Here is a 19,844-nt window from a genome sequence, read left to right as displayed (position 1 = left end):
ATTACAGGCATGAGCCACTGCACCCAGCCTAGAAAAAAAAATTCTAAAATTCATATGGAACCACAGAAGACCCCAAATAGCCAAAGAAATCCTGAGCAAAAATAACAAAGCTGGAGGCATCACATGAGCTGACTCTAATATGTACTACAAAGCTACAGTAACCAAAACAGCTTGGACCTGGCATAAAAACGGACACATAGGCACAATGGAACAGAATAGAGAACCCAGAAATAAATCCACATATTTACTGCCAACTGATTTTTGACAAGTAACCAAGAACATTCAATGGGGAAAGAACAGGCTCATCAATAAATAGTTCTAGGAAAATTGAATATCCATATGCAGAAGAATAAAACTAGACCTCTATTTCTCACCGTATTCAAAAATTAAATTAAAGTGGATTAAAGAATTAAATGTAAGACCTGAAACTATGAAACTACAGAAGAAAACATTGGTGAAACACTTTAGAACATTGGTCTAGGCAGATATTTTGGGTAAGACTGCAAAAGCACAGGCAACAAAAGCAAAAATAGACAAATGGAAATACATCAAGCTGAAAAGCTTTTGCACAGCAAAGGAAATAATCGACAGAATGCAGAGACAACCTACATAATGGGAGAAACTATTTGCAAGCTGTCTATGTGATAAAGTATTAATAAACAGAATACATAAGGAGTTCAAACTCAATAGCAAAATAATAATAACAATCATCATCATCATCTTATTTTAAAATGGGCAAATGATCTAAATAGACATTTCTCAAAAGAAGACATACAAATGACCAACAAACATTTACGAAAAAATGTTCAACATCACTAATCATCAGGGAAATGCAAATCAAAATCACATTGAGATATCATCTCATCCCTGTTAAAACTGCTATTATCAAAAAGACAAACAATAACAGGTACTGGTGAGGATGTGGAGAAAGGGGAATACTAGTTCACTGCTGGTGGGAATGGCAATTAGTACAGCCACTATGAGTAAAAGCATGGAGTTTCCTCAAAAAACTAAAAATAGATGTACCATATGATCCAGCAACCTCACTGCTGAGTATACATCCAAAAAAAAGGAAATCAGTATATCAAAGAGATAGCTGCATGCCCATGTTTACTGCAGCACTATTCATAATAACCAAAATACTGAATTAACCTAACTGTCCACTAGTGGATGGATAAGGAAATTTTGATATATATATATGTATGTGTGTATATATATAATACATATGTATGTGTATATATATATATAATATATATATACACATATACATACACAACAGAATACCATTCAGCCATAAAAAGGAATAAAATCCTTTCCTTTGCAGCAACACAGATCAAACTGGAGGTTATTATGTTAAGTGAAATAAGCCAGGCACAGAAACACAAACATTGCATGTTCTTACTCATATGTGGGAGCTAAAAAAATTGATCTCCTGGAAGTTGCGAATAAAATGATGGTTGCCAGAGGCTAGGAAGTGTAGGAGTAAGGGGAATGAACACAGGTTGGCTTAAGGGTTTAAAAATACAGTTAGATAGGCCGGGCCCGGTGGCTCACGCCTGTAATCCCAGCACTTTGGGAGGCCGAGGCGGGTGCATCATGAGGTCAGGAGATCGAGACCATCCTGGCTAACAAGGTGAAACCCCGTCTCTACTAAAAATACAAAAAATTAGCCGGGCGCGGTGGCGGGCGCCTGTAGTCCCAGCTACTCGGGAGGCTGAGGCAGGAGAATGGCGTGAACCCGGGAAGCGGAGCTTGCAGTGAGCCGAGATTGCGCCACTGCAGTCCGCAGTCCGGCCTGGGCGACAGAGCGAGACTCCGTCTCAAAAAAAAAAAAAAAAAAAAAAAAAAATACAGTTAGATAGAAGAAATACATTCTAGTGTTTGATAGCACAGTAGGATTAAGAGGTGACAGCGTGCTGGCAGTCCTCAGAGCCCTCACTTGCTCTTGGCACCTCCTCTGCCTGGGCTCCCACTTTGGCAGCATTTGAGGAGCCCTTCAGCCCACCACTACACTGTGGGAGCCCCTTTCTGGGCTGGCCAAGGCTGGAGCCCACTCCCTCAGCTTGCGGGGAGGTGTGGAGGGAGAGGCGTGAGCGGGAACCAGGGCTGCACATGGTGCTTGCGGGCCAGCTGGAGTTCTAGGTGGGCATGGGCTTGGAGGGCCCCGCACTCAGAGCAGCCGGCCAGCCCTGCTGGCCCCGGGCAGTGAGGGGCTTAGCACCCGGGCCAGCAGCTGCGGAGGGTGTACTGGGTCCCCCAGCAGTGCCAGCCCACCGGCGCTACGCTCGATTTCTCGCTGAGCCTTAGCTGCCTTCCCACGGGGCAGGGCTCGAGACCTGCAGCCCGCCATGCCTAAGCCTTCCCCTGCCTCCGTGGGTTCCTGTGCAGCCCGAGCCTCCCCAACGAATACCATCCCCTGCTCCACGGCGCCCAGTCCCATCGACCACCCAAGGGCTGACGAGTACGAGCTCATGGCATGGGACTGGCAGGCAGCTCCACCTGCAGCCCCAGTGCGGGATCCACTCGGTGAAGCCAGCTGGGCTCCTGGTCTGGTGGGGACGTGGAGAGTCTTTATATCTAGCTCAGAGATTGTAAACACACCAATCAGCACCCTGTGTCTAGCTCAAGGTTTGTGAGTGCACCAATCAACACTCTGTATCTAGCTGCTCTGGTGGGGCCTTGGAGAACCTTTATGTCTAGCTCAGGGATTGTAAATACCCCAACCAGCACCCTGTGTTTAGCTCAAGGTTTGTGAGTGCACCAATCAACACTCCGTATCTAGCTGCTCTGGTGAGGATGTGGAGAACCTTTATGTCTAGCTCAAGGATTGTAAATACACCAATCGGCACTCTGTATCTAGCTCAAGGTTTGTAAATACACCAATCAGCACCCTCTGTTTAGCTCAAGGTTTGTGAGTGCACCAATCGACACTGTGTATCTAGCTGCTCTGGCGGGGCCTTGGTGAACCTTTATGTCTAGCTCAGGGATTGTAAATACCCCAATCAGCACCCTGTGTTTAGCTCAAGGTTTGTGAGTGCACCAATCGACACTCTGTATCTAGCTGCTCTGGTGGGGCCCTGGAGAACCTGTGTGTAGAAACTCTGTATCTAACTAATCTGATGGGGACGTGGAGAACCTTTGTATCTAGCTCAGGGATTGTAAACGCACCAATCAGCGCCCTGACAAAACAGGCCACTCGGCTCTACCAATCAGCAGGATGTGGGTGGGGCCAGAAAAGACAATAAAAGCAGGCTGCCCGAGCCAGCATTGGCAACCTTCTCGGGTCCCCTTCCACACTGTGGAAGCTTTGTTCTTTCGCTCTTTGCAATAAATCTTGCTACTGCTCACTCTTTGGGTCCACGCTGCTTTTATGAGCTGTAACACTCACCGCGAAGATCTGCAGCTTCACTCCTGAGCCCAGCAAGACCATGAGCCCACTGGGAGGAACGAACAACTCCAGACGTGCTGCCTTAAGAGCTGTAACACTCACCACGAAGGTCTGCAGCTTCACTCCTGAGCCAGCGAGACCACGAACCCACCAGAAGGAAGAAACTCCGAACACATCAGAACATCAGAAGGGACAGACTCCAGATGCGCCACCTTAAGAGCTGTAACACTCACCACGAAGGTCTGCAGCTTCACTCCTGAGCCAGCAAGACCACGAACCCACCAGAAGGAAGAAACTCCAAACACATCTGAACATCAGAAGGGACAGACTCCAGATGCGCCACCTTAAGAGCTGTAACACTCACCACGAGGGTTTGCGGCTTCATCCTTGAAGTCAGTGAGACCAAGAACCCACCAATTCCGGACACATTTTGGCGACCACGAAGGGACTTTCGCATATCGCCAAGCGGTGAGACAATAGCCGAGCGGTGAGACCTTTCCCAATCGCCAAGCAGTGAGTACCATCGGACCCCTTTCACTTGCTATTCTGTCCTATCTTTCTTTAGAATTCGGGGGCTAAATACCGGGCATCTGTCAGCCATTTAAAAGTGACTAGCGGGCCGCCGGACTAAAGACACGGGTGTCAAGCTTTCTGGGAAAGGGCTCTCTAACAACCCCCAACTCTTTGGAGTTGGGACCGTTGGTTTGCCTAGAACCAGCTTCCGCTTTTCCTGTACTTCTGGGCTGAGCCGTGGGTTGACAGTGAGGAAAGCCATGCATCTCCGGGGTCCCGACAACATGTTGGTTGACCCTGCGGCCATGAGTGGAACTCTCAAAAGCATGTCGCCCAAGCGACACTCGCCTATCTATCCTATCTATCCTGACCCTTGCCCTCTGGGTCCTAATGCCTGCCAGACAAACTTCCTCTCGCCTCTCTTCTCTGAGGCTAGACCCGCTTCTAAAAATTGCTACCTGTCTCTGGTGCTTTTCTAGTTTCTCCTATAAGAATGATTTCTAGTATAAACTCCAGGACTCTGTTACCTTCTTTAGGCACCCGGGCTCACCAATCAGAAAGACACAGTTTTTGCCCAAGGCCCCATCGTAGTGGGGACTACCTGGAATTTTAGGATCCCTCCTCAGACTAACAGGCCTAACAAAAGTTATTCCTGAAGCTAGGATATGGGGAGCCTCAGAAATTGTATCCTTCCTATTCATATAAGTGAGAACAAAAGGTGTCACTCTTCCAACCCTGAAGATCCCCTCCCTCCCTCAGGGTATGGCCCTCCATTTCATTTTTGTGGCATAACATCTTTATAGGATGGGGTAAAGTCCCAATACTAACAGGAGAATGCTTAGGACTCTAACAGGTTTTTGAGAATGCGTCAGTAAGGGCCACTAAATCTGATTTTTCTCAGTCGGTCCTCCTTGTGGTCTAGGAGGACAGGCAAGGGTGCAGGTTTTCGAGAATGCGTCAGTAAGGACCACTAAATCCGACCTTCCTCGGTCCTCCATGTGGTCTGGGAGGAAAACTAGTGTTTCTGCTGCTGCGTCGGTGAGCGCAACTATTCAAGTCAGCAGGGTCCAGGGACCGTTGCAGGTTCTTGGGCAGGGGTTGTTTCTGCTGCTGCATTGGTGAATGCAACTATTCTGATCAGCAGGGTCCCAGGACCATTGCAGGTCCTTGGGCAGGGAGAGAAACAAAACAAACCAAAACTGTGGGCGGTTTTGTCTTTCATATGGGAAACACTCAGGCATCAACAGGTTCACCCTTGAAATGCATCCTAAGCCATTGGGACCAATTTGACCCACAAACCCTGAAAAAGAGGAGGCTCATTTTTTCCTGCACTACGGCTTGGCCCCAATATTCTCTTTCTGATGGGGAAAAATGGCCACCTGAGGGAAGCACAAATTACAATACTATCCTGCAGCTTGATCTTTTCTGTAAGAGGGAAGGCAAATGGAGTGAAATACCTTATGTCCAAGCTTTCTTTTCATTGAGGGAGAATACACAACTATGCAAAGCTTGCAATTTACATCCCACAGGAGGACCCCTCAGCTTACCCCCATATCCTAGCCTCCCTATAGCTTCCCTTCCTATTGATGATACTCCTCCTCTAATCTCCCCTGCCCAGAAGGAAATAAGCAAAGAAATCTCCAAAGGTCCACAAAAACCCCCGGGCTATCGGTTATGTCCCCTTCAAGCTGTAGGGGGAGGGGAATTTGGCCCAACCCGGGTGCATGTCCCCTTCTCCCTCTCTGATTTAAAGCAGATCAAGGCAGACCTGGGGAAGTTTTCAGATGATCCTGATAGGTACATAGATGTCCTACAGGGTCTAGGGCAAACCTTTGACCTCACTTGGAGAGACGTCATGCTACTGTTAGATCAAACCCTGGCCTTTAATGAAAAGAATGCGGCTTTAGCTGCAGCCTGAGAGTTTGGAGATACCTGGTATCCTAGTCAAGTAAATGAAAGAATGACAGCCGAAGAAAGGGACAACTTCCCTACTGGTCAGCAAGCCATCCCCAGTATGGATCCCCACTGGGACTTTGACTCAGATCATGGGGACTGGAGTCGTAAACATCTGTTGATCTGTGTTCTGGAAGGACTAAGGAGAATTGGGAAAAAGCCCATGAATTATTCAATGATATCCACCATAACCCAGGGAAAGGAAGAAAATCCTTCTGCCTTCCTCGAGCGGCTACAAGAGGCCTTAAGAAAATATACTCCCCTGTCACCCGAATCACTCGAGGGTCAATTGATTCTAAAAGATAAGTTTATTACCCAATCAGCCACAGATATCAGGAGAAAGCTCCAAAAGCAAGCCCTGAGCCCTGAACAAAATCTAGAGACATTATTAAACCTGGCAACCTTGGTGTTCTATAATAGGGACCAAGAGGAACAGGCCCAAAAGGAAAAGCGAGATCAGAGAAAGGCCGCAGCCTTAGTCATGGCCCTCAGACAAACAAACCTTGGTGGTTCAGAGAGGTCAGAAAATGGAGCAGGCCAATCACCTGGTACGGCTTGTTATCAGTGCGGTTTACTAGGACACTTTAAAAAAGATTGTCCAATAAGAAACAAGCTGCCCCCTCATCCGTGTCCACTATGCCGAGGCAATCACTGGAAGGTGCACTGCCCCAGAGGATGAAGGTTCCCTGGGTTAGAAGCCCCCAACCAGATGATCCAACAACAGGACTGAGGGTGCCCGGGGCAAGCACCAGCTCATGTCATCACCCTCACTGAGCCCTGGGTATGTTTAACTATTGAGGGCCAGGAAATTGACTTCCTCCTGGATACTGGCGCGGCCTTCTCAGTGTTAATCTCCTGTCCTAGACAACTGTCCTCAAGGTCTGTTACCATCCGAGGAATCCTGGGACAGCCTGTAATCAGGTATTTCTCCCACCTCCTCAGTTGTAATTGGGAGACTTTGCTCTTTTCACATGGCTTTCTTGTTATGTCTGAAAGTCCCACACCCTTATTAGGGAGGGATATATTAGCCAAGGCTGGAGCTATTATCTACATAAATATGGGGAACAAGTTACCCATTTGTTGTCCCCTACTTGAGGAGGGAATCAACACTGAAGTCTGGGCATTGGAAGGACAATTTAGAAGGGCAAAAAAATGCCCGCACAGTCACGTAATGCAAAAAAACACAAAGAGGTAGGAATCTTACACTGACAAAGCCATCAAAATGGGAAGGAGAGAGGAGAACAGCAGCATAAGCGGCTGGCAGAGGTAGGGAAAGACCAGCAAGAAGAAAAGAGAGAAAGAGAAAGTCAGAGAAAGAGACAGAGAGAGGAAGAGACAAAGAGACAGAAAGTCAAAGAGGTAGTCAGAAACAGAGACAAAAAAAAGGAGTCAGAAAGAGGGACAGACACAGAAAGTCAAAAAAAAAGTTAAGAAGAAAGGAAAAGACAAAGAAGAAGTCGAAGAGAGAAAGAGAGAGATAGAAGTAGTAAAGAAAAAAACAGCATATCCCATTCCTTTAAAAGCCAGGGTAAATTTCTATCTACCCAGCCAAGGCATATTCTACTTATGTGGATCTTCAACCCATATCTGCCTCTCAGACAGTTTGCAAGAAATAATGAAATCTATCCTTACTTTACAATCCCAAATAGACTCTTTGGCAGCAGTGACTCTCCAAAACTGCAGAGGCCTAGACCTCCTCACTGCTGAAAAAGGAGGACACTACACCTTCTTAGGGGAAGAATGTTGTTTTTACACTAACCAGTCGGGGATAGTATGAGATGCTGCCCGGAGTTTACAGGAAAAGGCTTCTGAAATCAGACAACGCCTTTCAAATTCTTATACCAACTTCTGGAGTTAGGCAACATGGCTTCTCCCCTTTCTAGGTCCTGTGGCAGCCATCTTGCTGTTACTCGCCTTTGGGCCCTGTATTTTTAACCTTCTTGTCAAATTTGTTTCCTCTAGAATCGAGGCCATCAAGCTACAGATGGTCTTACAAATGGAACCCCAAAAGAGTTCAACTAACAACTTCTACCGAGGACCCCTGGATCAACCCACTGGCACTTCCCCTGGCCTAGAGAGTTCCCCTCTGAAGGACACCGCAACTGCAGGGCCCCTTCTTTGCCCCATCCAGCAGGAAGTAGCTAGAGTGGTCATCGGCCAAATTGCCAACAGCAGTTGGGGTGTCCTGTTTAGAGGGGGGATTGAGAGGTGACAGCATGCTGGCAGTCCTCAGAGCCCTCACTTGCTCTTGGCACCTCCTCTGCCTGGGCTCCCACTTTGGCAGCATTTGAGGAGCCCTTCAGTCCACCACTACACTGTGGGAGCCCCTTTCTGGGCTGGCCAAGGCTGGAGCCCACTCCCTCAGCTTGCGGGGAGGTGTGGAGGGAGAGGCGCGAGTGGGAACCAGGGCTGCGCATGGTGCTTGCGGGCCAGCTGGAGTTCTAGGTGGGCATGGGCTTGGAGGGCCCCGCACTCAGAGCAGCCGGCCAGCCCTGCTGGCCCCGGGCAGTGAGGGGCTTAGCACCCGGGCCAGCAGCTGCGGAGGGTGTACTGGGTCCCCCAGCAGTGCCAGCCCACCGGCACTGCGCTCGATTTCTCGCCGAGCCTTAGCTGCCTTCCCGCCGGGCAGGACTCGGGACCTGCAGCCCGCCATGCCTAAGCCTTCCCCAACCTCTGTGGGTTCCTGTGCAGCCCGAGCCTCCCCGACGAATACCATCCCCTGCTCCATGGCACCCAGTCCCGTCGACTACCCAAGGGCTGAGGAGTACAAGTTCATGGCGCGGGACTGGCAGACAGCTCCACCTGCAGCCCCAGTGCGGGATCCACTGGGTGAAGCCAGCTGGGCTCCTGAGTCTGGTGGGGACGTGGAGAGTCTTTATATCTAGCTCAGGGATTGTAAACACACCAATCAGCACCCTGTGTCTAGCTCAAGGTTTGTGAGTGCACCAATCAACACTCTGTATCTAGCTGCTCTGGTGGGGCCTTGGAGAACTTTTATGTCTAGCTCAGGGATTGTAAATACCCCAACCAGCACCCTGTGTTTAGCTCAAGGTTTGTGAGTGCACCAATCGACACTCTGTATCTAGCTGCTCTGATGAGGACGTGGAGGACCTTTATGTCTAGCTCAAGGATTGTTAATACATCAATCGGCACTCTGTATCTAGCTCAAGGTTTGTAAATACACCAATCAGCACCCTCTGTTTAGCTCAAGGTTTGTGAGTGCACCAATCGACACTGTGTATCTAGCTGCTCTGGTGGGGCCTTGGTGAACCTTTATGTCTAGCTCAGGGATTGTAAATACCCCAATCAGCACCCTGTGTTTAGCTCAAGGTTTGTGAGTGCACCAATCGACACTCTGTATCTAGCTGCTCTGGTGGGGCCCTGGAGAACCTGTGTGTAGAAACTCTGTATCTAACTAATCTGATGGGGACGTGGAGAACCTTTGTATCTAGCTCAGGGATTGTAAACGCACCAATCAGCGCCCTGACAAAACAGGCCACTCGGCTCTACCAATCAGCAGGATGTGGGTGGGGCCAGAAAAGACAATAAAAGCAGGCTGCCCGAGCCAGCATTGGCAACCTTCTCGGGTCCCCTTCCACACTGTGGAAGCTTTGTTCTTTCGCTCTTTGCAATAAATCTTGCTACTGCTCACTCTTTGGGTCCACGCTGCTTTTATGAGCTGTAACACCGCGAAGATCTGCAGCTTCACTCCTGAGCCCAGCGAGACCACGAGCCCACCGGGAGGAACCAACAACTCCAGACGCGCTGCCTTAAGAGCTGTAACACTCACCGCGAAGGTCTGCAGCTTCACTCCTGATCCAGCGAGACCAGAGACCACGAACCCACCAGAAGGAAGAAACTCCGAACACATCTGAACATCACAAGGGACAGACTCCAGATGCGCCACCTTAAGAGCTGTAACACTCACCGCGAGGGTCCGCAGCTTCATTCTTGAAGTCAGTGAGACCAAGAACCCACCAATTCCGGACACAGGATGACTACAGTTAACAATGATTTATTGTACATTTCAAAATAGCTAGAAGAGAAGATTTGACATGTTTCTAACTCAAAGAAATGCCAAATGTTGAGCTGATGGATATCCTGATTACCCTGATTTGATCATCACACATTGCATGCATGTATTAGAACATCACATGTACCTATAAATATGTATATTATTATGTATCAATTTTTTTAAAAAAGAAACAAATGTCTATTATGAGTTCTTAGCACTGAGTAGATGCCCAATGACCATAAGCTATCATTATTAACACCAGTTTGTTGATACATTATAAATACAAGAAATTATGTTCCTCCATACCACATACATAGAAGATACTTAAAAATACATTCACCAAAAAAAAAAACTAGCATTTCTTTGTCCTAAATAATTCATTGCAAAAGCCGTTTTCCCAAAGTCACTTGCTCATACGTCCTATTACACATGTTGCTTTAGGCTGTAACCCCAAGAAAATGGATATCTACATTCCAACCTGAGGAACCACAGTCAAGGCAAGATCAACAACAGTTTTGTGACCCTTGGCTGACCAATCATTTTCGCCCTATAAAAGACATTGGAGAAGCCAGTGAGGTGGGACTTGAAGAAGGGATTTATTTGGAAAAAGATACACTGTGAGTCCCATGGGTGAGGCCCAAGCCTTGAATAAGCAGTTTTCAATGGAATCCCTTACAGACTTTGTTTTGCATACCCTAGAGCAGCAGTTCTCAACCAGGGGCAGTCAGCAATGTCTGGAGACACTTTTGGTTGTCACAACTCAGTGTGGGATAGGGGGAGACATCAGGGATGCTGCTAAACATCTTACAATGCACAAGATAGACCTCTGCAGCAAAGAATTATCCACCCCAAGATAGCAATAGTGCCAAGGGTGAGAAAGCCCAAAGCTTGGGGAATCATACGGGCTGGTGTCTGACATATGCTAAAATATCTAAGAGATAAGAAAATAGCTGGTTGCTCTGACACAGAGCAAAGACAGGCTGTAGCATTGCAAAAGAGCTGTGCATCTGGTTGAATGGACAAAGGATGCATGCAGGTTCTCCATGGACCAGACTTGGGCCTAGCACAGCAAGGTAGGCCTGGGAAGCTGTCCAAGAGGACCACCTAGAGGGGCAAGGCAACCCCACCAGAGAGGCGCTGGGGGAACCCCTGATGTATTGGCAGAGGAAGGGGAGTAAGAGACCAGTGGAAGACAGGCATTTGCCTACAGTGAGAGACCCAAGTAGAAGAGGAGCACAGAAGTGCTTCATGACCGAGTCAGCTTTAGCACTCGTCAGGCTCCAGGGCAGGCCCAAACACCTGTTACAGTCAAGCATGACTTTCCACGACCCCCAGCTCCCTCCTCCCTAACCCCTGGGCTCTATTCTCTCTTGACCCTTCACTTCGCTTCCTCCTGACCCCTCACCTCTCCTCCTCCTGACCCCTCACCTCTCCTCCTCCTGACCCCTCACCTCTCCTCCTCCTGAGCCCTCATCTCTCCTCTTCCAGGACCCTTACCTCTCCTCTTACTGACGCCTCACCTCTCCTCTTCCCAACCCCTCACTTGTCCTCCTCCTGATGCCTCATCTCTCCTCTTCCTGACCCCTCACCTTTCCTCCTTACTGACCCCTCACTTCTCCTCCTCTGACCCCTTACCTCTTCTCCTCCTGACCCCTCACCTCTCCTTCCCCTTGACCCTTCACCTCTCCTCCTTCCTGACCCTTCACTTCTGCCCGTCCTCACCCCTCACCTCTCATCAGTTTACCTCTCCCAGCAACGCCAAAGATAAATGGGTGAGAAACTGCATACAGCAAGCTAGAAGAGCAGTGCTTGAGGTACACAGCAGAAAATACAAGAGAAATTGTGCATGTCCCCTGCCTGGAGCAGGCAGCTGGCCCACAGGTGGCCCAAGTCGAGAGAGAGGAGAAGATTTCATGTAGGGAAGTAGGGACTATTACATGAAAATAGACATAATTACATCTGGGGGACTAAAAATGACTAGATATTTTATTTTTAGCTAATGGAAACACTGTTATTATTTCTGCCTAAAACATTCATTCAGATGGCAGGAACAAAAACAAACAAGCTTGCAAAGGGTTTAAACAGGTGAGGAATTTTTTTTAAGGGATTGATCACAATCCCTAAGTCTGGCTCCCTCAGCATGATAGTTACTTCTTAATATTTACTCCTTGTCAAGGAGAAGCAGTTAGTGTGTTAATGACAAAGGTACTCAGGCAAAGAAAGAACAAAGAACTATGTGCAGTGATCAGCCATCTTTAAAGACCAGAGTTTGGAGACCACCACTTAGGCATTCTAAGAGAGGCCAGTAAAAGGAAGTGAGGGGGACACAATGTATTATGGGAGGATACCAACCTGCTCTTCCATAAAGTCCCCCTTTATGCCAAGGTCAGAGAAGAAAACCCCATGTAGACAGACCCTGAGCATGGCATCGGCACAGCAATAATGCACACTCCTTACCTGTCTGGGCCTTGGTGTCGGCCTTCTTGCTCTCCTGGTCCCCCTTCTGGGCCCACACGTGCACCATGTACTCCATACCCGGTCTCAGGCCTGTCAGGACTGTGCTGCTCTGCTCCTTCCCCACCGGAACCTCCCTGGTCTCTCCACCAGCAGAGGTGTAGCGCACCACGTACTTGTCAATGGCGGCCTGCACCGGGTCCCAGGAGACCGTGGCCATATTCTCTGTCACCCGGTCAGTCACCAGGTTTTTGGGGCTGTCAATATCTGGAAGGAAAATGTTTGGAAAGGTTTAAGCTCTGAAGCCATGGAAGACATATCCTTACCCCCATCTTCATCATTTTCATCTTCCAGAGCTCTTTTAGAACAAGGCAATGGCATTCTCATCCTGAGTCTCCGCTGGGAGTCTAAGGAGAAAGTAGCCCTTGGTTCTGAACTTCAAAGGAGGAATCATTATAAATGAGGCATTCTTTCTTGGCTTTCAGTTCCCTAAAATGTTGGAGGAACGATGTCTTCTCAGCAGCATATGGCACATCACAACCTCCAATTAAACAGCTGCCATGACATTTAGGGTTCCTAACATAACATTTTATCAAGGGCTACTTCACTGATGAGCACTCTAAAAATATTATCACAAGCACTGCAATGACCAGATCCTGTACCCATCTTCTGCTAAAAGCATTGTTACTATAAGACTTTACTTCTCTCTTTCAGTGGGCCAAGTGGTCTCATGAACAGCTCATCACTGTCAGGAAAGAGCAGCCCACCGCCATCACCACGAGAGCTCAGTCTTTCTTTCATCTTTAAGACTTCTAATTGCAAAGTCTTTCTGCTCAGGCCACATCCTTTGATACCATACCTATTCAAATCCACAAGCTAAAACTCAATTCCAATTGACCATCTCTCTTTTGTTACCTGTCGGGGCGTTGGTGTCAGCCTTCTTGCTCTCTCGGTCCCCCTTCTGGGCCCAGACATGCACTGTGTACTCCACACCTGGCCTCAGGCCTGTCAGGACAGTGCTGCTCTGCTCCTTCCCCACCAGAACCTCTCTGGTCTCTTGGTCGTCAGCAGAGGTGTAGCGCACCACGTACTTGTCAATGGTGGCCTGTACCGGGTCCCAGGAGATGGTGGCGGTATTCTCAGTCACCCGGTCAGTCACCAGGTTTGCTGGGCTGTCAATTTCTTTAAGAGAGAGATGAAAGAAGAATGTAGCCTTTACCACCCTCTAATTCCATAAAGACAGCACGAACACAGTCAAAGTGATAACCTCAACAAATGTCAGAGTCTCTAATATGTCAATGATTGAGTTAATGTAAAGGTCTAATTAAGCAAATGGTCTGAAATTCCAGTAATAAGCTAATAACATTTAATAAGAAGTGGAGTTTTCAGACAAAGCCAGCATCTTTATCAACTCTATAAACTTTTCCCGGAAGTCGCTTTGGGATAAAAATAATTGGTCTTCACATTCAAATTTCTCCTTTACCCTGGATTTATATAACATATTCTTCTAGTTCCTGACTCCTTGTACTAGAAAGCAATTATACTGAATAAACCTCTGCATCTGCTCTAATATGTTCTTTGAGAAGAAAAATATCCTAGAAGTAGTAGCCATCAGTTCTTTCCATATAAAACATTACATCTGTGGCCAGGGAACCAGGAGACTTTTTAATTGATAGTATCTGAGGTCTGGTCTAATAAAAAGAATCAAACTTGTAGAATCTGTCTGGGTTTCTCTGTGATTAAAGTGGGTTAGAACCTGGGCTCCATCTCTTCCTGGTGGCTAACTTTGGACAAGCCGTGTAATTTAAGTGTCTGTCTCCTCAACTCTATGAAGAAAGAAATACCACTACCTACCTCATAGGTTATGGTGATAGTAAATGAGATATTGCATAGCAAATGCTTAAATATAAGTTGTTATTATTAATGGCATTTGAGGCATGAAATACCACTTTCTCCTCAAAATGTACATCCTTAGGGAGTCAAAAATCCAAGCAATTGTGTGTATGGTTAGCATGACTTTATTATCCTCTTTTAGAAACTACCTCCTCAAAAAAGGCTGTACTTTTTGTGACAGCACCTGCATTTCATACCTGCACAGGACCACTTGCCAAGGGGGACAGGCCAGCATGGTGGAATGCACAGCCACATGCAGTGACTCACCCTAGGGAGCAAAGTTCAGCATGCACCACAGACATCTGACATGAGGACAAATGATTTAGCACCCAGGATTCTGAGCTGGCTTATCCTTCACTAGTGCACCAAACACACAGACCGGCCCTCCATTAAAACCCCTTGAGATGACCTAACCTGTCATATTCTCACAACTTAGCCTCTGCATATGCTGCCTCCACTGCTAACTCCCACCCGTCCTTCCAGGCTTTGTTCAGGTGTCACCTCCTCCCACAGCCTGCATGACCCCTATCCTGTCCTAGTCTGTGGTAGGTCCCCTTTCTTCAGTTTCCCATAGCTCCAGGGACATTTGTTTGCTCTAGAACATAACTCACTGTCCTTTATCTTTTTAACTTGTCTTCTCTACCCAGAGGATTGTGAATGCCATACAGGCGTGAATCACTTCCTTCATGTTTGTGCCCCCAGAGCTCAGCTCTGGTCTGACCCCTTCCCAGTGGCAATGCCACCCTCCAGAGGCTCCCTGCTGCTCACACCACCACCGCCTAAGAAAAGGGAAGGTTCTTCTCTATTCCAACTTCCTTTGTTTTAAAAATGGGCCGGGCGTGGTGGCTCACGCCTGTATTTCCCAGCACTTTGGGAGGCCGAGGAGGGTGGATTGCTTGAGCTCAGGAGTTCGAGACCAGCCTGGGGAACACAGTGAAAACCCGTCTCTATTAAAAATACAAAAATTAGCTGGGCGTGGTGGCGGGTGCCTGAAATCCCAGCTACTTGGGAGGCTGAGGCAGGAGAATCGCTTGAACCCGGGAGATGGAGGTTGCAGTGAGCCCAGATTGCGCCATTGCACTCCAGCCTGGGCAAGAGAGCGAGACTCTGTCTCAAACAAAACAAAACAAACAAACAAACAAAAATGCTGACCCAAATGCTCTTTCTTTTCACGACACTCAAAATCCTAGTAAACAGAGAGTCACGTGTAATGTAAACCAGGAGGGGCAATCTACAACCCACAGGCCAAATCTGATCCACTGTCAATCTTTATCAATAAAGTCTTATCGGAACACAGTCACACCAGTCCATTTACACATCATTGTCTGTGGCTGTTTTCATGCTCCAATGGCAGAGTTAAGTAATTGCAATAGAAACTGTTGGACCCCCAAAGCCAAAAATATTTACTATCTGGTCCTTTACAGAAATTTGCTGACTTTGACTTTAAACAGATTTAGATATCACCATCCTTACTGTCAATGTCTTCTCTGCTCCCCTGAAGAAGAGGTCAACTATTGAGGCCCACATGGATCTAGGAGGCTGTGCACCACGAAATCTTTCAAGAGCCAAATACTGATTAACATTCTAAAAAATCATTGCTCTCACTTGTGCCATAAGAAACAGGAACGGAAGTAAAGTAACTTGCTCAAAGCCACTCAGCTAGTCAATGGCAGAGCTGGGGTTAAAACCTGGACAGTCAATTTTCTGAAACCATATTCCTAACCATCTCTCTGCTTCTCTGAGAGTCTCTATACTCAGTAACTGTCCAGAATAGAATGCAAACAATAAGCGAAGCCTTTCCCTCTGATTTCCTGCCAGGTGTTTTGGAACCTCATGCGGGCACCAGGATCAGGCTGCTCTAAATTCAGAGAAGCACCAGGAGAGGATTTAAGCAGAAAGAATGGCTGGGCTATGTCCCAGTATAGTCCCAGGACCCCTGCAGGCGCAAACTGAGCAGAATGACTGGGTGAAGTATGAGAACCCTCATGGCTTCTGAAAGCTTAAAGGAAGAATTGGTCCATTTAGTAAATGTTGACTTAGGATGCAAACTATTTCCACGGTCTAAAAGAGAGCTCCAGATTATATGCAAAGTGCCTGCACAGCCACTGCAAACTGAGATAAGCATTCAAATTCACTGTCAGCCCAATGTTTTGAGTTTTCACATCTAAAAAATGAAAATTAGGAAGTGTTACTCTATTCTGAGGGGGTTGCATACGGAATTCCAACTCAAATAAGTATGACCTTCTGCATCAAGTGAAAAAGCTGATCTCTTTTGTTTGATGTTAAAAAGGAAAAATATATATAATTATGAAAATCAAAATTGGTTTTGCAACCTCCTCCCCACTCCTGCAAACAAAAGAGCTGATGCCAGGTGAGCAATGACCTCCTGATTCAAAAATCAACCTTCTCCCTGCCATGAGGAAACCTATTTATGCTCCCGTCCTTCTGTTACCTGTGAGGGCATTGGTGTCAGCTTTCTTGCTCCCCTGGTTGCCCCTTTCAGCCCACACGTAGACCTTGTATGCCTCTCCTGGCTTCAGGCCCGTCAGGACAGTGCTGCTCTCATCCTTGTGCACTGCCATTTCCTTGGTGTCCCCATCAGCAGAAGTGTAGCGCACTACATACTTGTCTATGACAGCCTGCACTGGGTCCCAGGAGACAGTTGCTGTGTCTTCAGTCACTCGATCAGTGACAACATTGGTTGGACTGTCAATTTCTTCATAAAAACACATGAGAAAGAAAAATCAGAGAAACCAGTTGGTTAGTCAAGATCATAGATTGTTAAAGATCTAGTTCACCTGGGTGACCTAGTTCAATAGTTTATGCAATACAAGGGGGTCTCTCCATCATCAGTGACAAGTGGACAACTGGCTTCTGCTTGAACCCTAAACTAAGAAAGGACTCTCCAATAGACAACACAATCCATTCCATTTTCCATTTGCAGACTACTGAACATATTAGAGAAAACTCCTTCAAATGTAACTCCTTCTAATTGTCTACCCTAGGTAGACAGAGAGAATACATCTAATTCCCCTTCCAGAAGACCAACCAGCAAGTATTCAAGAAGAGTCATCATTCCCCTCCCTAGTTCTCCTCAAATCAAAACAACATCACCTCCCCTGTTCATTGCTTCCAAATCACAGTTTCCAGGCCTGGCACTTTTATCTACACATGCTCTTCTCTCTCTTTTCAAATACAAATCTCCAAAACTCACTTCATTCATTCAACAGCACTTCACTGAACATCCATTATGTGTCAGGGAATGTAATGACATTTAAGAGTTATCAATGAGCAAAACAGTCAAAAATCCCCACCAATGTGGAGCTTATATTCAAAAAGAACTAACCCAGAACAATATGCCAGCTGTGTCCTAGAGACTGTGCTTCCCAAGAACATATCCTGAGCCCATGACCTTAGAAAATCTCTCATTTTTTCTTTGACACATGTCCCTGCTAACCCAAGGTCCTGCTTCATGTGTTCAAGCAACAGCAAGGAGGCCAGTGCATCTAGACAGAGTTAAGTCAAGCGGCTGGAGGGGAGGCCAGGGAAGTGAGAGGGACAGTGGACTATGGATGGCCTTGAAGGCCATTGTAATGACATTGTCTTTTACACTAAGTAACAAGAGAAGTCTCTGGGGGCTTTGAAAAGAGGAATGACCTGATCTGACTTGGGCTATCAAAGGATCCCTCTGGCTTCTGAGGAGAATACTCACTCTAGTGAACCAAGAGTGAAGGTCACACAGGAGGCTGCTTCAGTGGTGTATATGCAAGATGGTGGGGGTGCAGGCCACTGCAGCAGTAATGAGGGTCATGGGGAAGGCTGGCTTTGGAGCTTTCAAAGGTAAGGCTGTCATAATCTGCTGATGGATTCAACATGGGATACAATGAATGATTTGTTGGCTTGGGGCCCAAGTAATTTGCAAAATGGAGTGGCCATTTATAGAGACAGGGATATCTGAGGGAGGGAAGCATTTGCAGTAGGGAGTGGGGAGAGGAAGAGGACCAAGCGTTTGCTTTTGGATACATTAAGTGGTAGAGCCAAGATTTGAACTCATTCTTATCTAACAAAGACTATACATTTCCACTTTATATGTCTATGTCCTAAGCAGCACTATCAATAGCATTTTCCTTTGCAACTAATAATAATAATAAATTATAAATAAAGTAAAGTGTGAACTGAAAGGTTACTGTGACATGAAATCCAGCAGCAGTAATAGACAGTAACTAGAGAGAGAAACTCGTTCTTGAACTATTGCCTTGTGAGACAATAGTCTCACTGTGACTGGCACTGTGAGCTCAGAGCCAATAGTCTGCCACTTGTGGGCCTCCAGGAATGACAGAGTGGACAATTAGGATGCAGGCACCCACTGTCTGACCCCATGGCCAGGGCCTCTGGAGGCTCCAGCAGGCTGTAAGAGGACAGTCAAGGAAAAGAGTGCAACGATAGAGAGAACTCTCTCCCCATCCTGTAACAACTTTCTGTGCAAGACATGATCCTGCATGTCATAGGGAAGAGATGACAAGAGCCATCCAAAACCAATATCTCAATCTGGGGAAATTAGTGACAAAGTGGAAATGGAAAACTAAGGAGGCAGGAAGAAGCGAGCAAGAACACCCTAGCAGTCCTGCTCGTGAAGTTCATGGCCCTCACCTTCTCAAAAGCATCCACATCTGTACAACCCCAGGTCCCAGCAGTGCCTCCCACCCCATCTCCCTGCCCCAGATTGGTGCTTGCTACCATTGCTTCCAGGACCCACAGCAGAGGCCTGTGGCTTTGTGGGGTTGGTGCTGCCTGTGTGTATTGAAAAATATATCATAGCCAGGCACAACAGCTCATACCTGTAATTCCAGCACTTTGGGAGGTGAAGCTGGGTGGATCACTTGAGGCCAGGAGTTCGAGACTAGCCTGGCCAACATGGCAAAACCGTGTCTCTACTAAAAACACAAAAAATTAGCCGGGCAGGGTGGTACATGCCTGTAATCCCAGCTACTCGGGAGGCTGAGGCACGAGAATGGCTTGAACCTGGAAGGCAGAGGTTGCAGTAAGCTGAGATCATGCACCACACTCCAGCCTAGGTGACATAGCAAGACTCAGTCTCAAAATAAATAAATAAATAAATAAATAAATAAATAAATAAATAAATAAAAATAATAAATAAAAGTAAATAAATAAAGGAAAGATCCATCATGTCCACATGGGTGGAAAGAGGAAGCAGCAGCCAGCTCTGTAGCTCCTTTCTCTCCCACCAGTCCCAGAGCACTCAAGGGATGGAGAAGAGCCAGGAAACAGCATCTTGGGTATGAAGAGTAGGAAGGTAAAACTGAATCATATTATGCCCAGGGTTATAGGAGACCTGGAGGTTTAAAGAAGTTTAAGAGAGGAGATGTGACTTCTCCAAGCTCACAGTGCCAGTCACAGCTCTTGGCCCCCTGCCTTCCCTTTTCTCTCAGTTCTCTAACCACAGCAACTCAACTCAGAAGGGGCTCTTCACAGAGCTTGCTCTCCTTGACCATTCCCCCGATGGGGATCAGGTGCTGAGACACAGGAATGGGAGGAAGGCCTCAGAGATGGGACCTCCATGATAGGCCACATTGCTGGAAGAGGCCAGCTTTGCAGGACTGAAACCTC

General features: G+C 47.1%; 1 protein-coding gene across 3 annotated transcripts in view, besides 1 other annotated feature; it reads right to left on the bottom strand.

The window, feature by feature from the left end:
* TNN (tenascin N) overlaps positions 1-19,844 on the bottom strand; it is an 80,243-nt gene that overhangs the window by 37,154 nt on the left and 23,245 nt on the right. For all 3 annotated transcript variants that reach the window (NM_022093.2, XM_017002048.2, XM_017002049.2), the window contains exons 7-9: positions 16,669-16,932; positions 13,239-13,505; positions 12,327-12,590 (exon numbers count right to left, since the gene is read on the bottom strand). In NM_022093.2, coding sequence (NP_071376.1) covers positions 12,327-12,590; positions 13,239-13,505; positions 16,669-16,932 — 795 coding nt within the window. The remainder of the gene's footprint in view (positions 1-12,326; positions 12,591-13,238; positions 13,506-16,668; positions 16,933-19,844) is intronic.
* Positions 10,743-10,943: a silencer, noted in NCBI's record as "peak471 fragment used in MPRA reporter construct". NCBI's record gives its function as "represses an SCP1 promoter by STARR-seq MPRAs in K562 erythroleukemia cells {active_cell/tissue: K562}" and the evidence as "EXISTENCE:reporter gene assay evidence [ECO:0000049][PMID:32103011]".

Source organism: Homo sapiens, chromosome 1 (assembly GCF_000001405.40).
Source record: "Homo sapiens chromosome 1, GRCh38.p14 Primary Assembly".
NCBI classification, from domain to species: Eukaryota; Metazoa; Chordata; class Mammalia; order Primates; family Hominidae; genus Homo; species Homo sapiens.
This window is presented reverse-complemented; position numbering and strand designations above follow the sequence as displayed.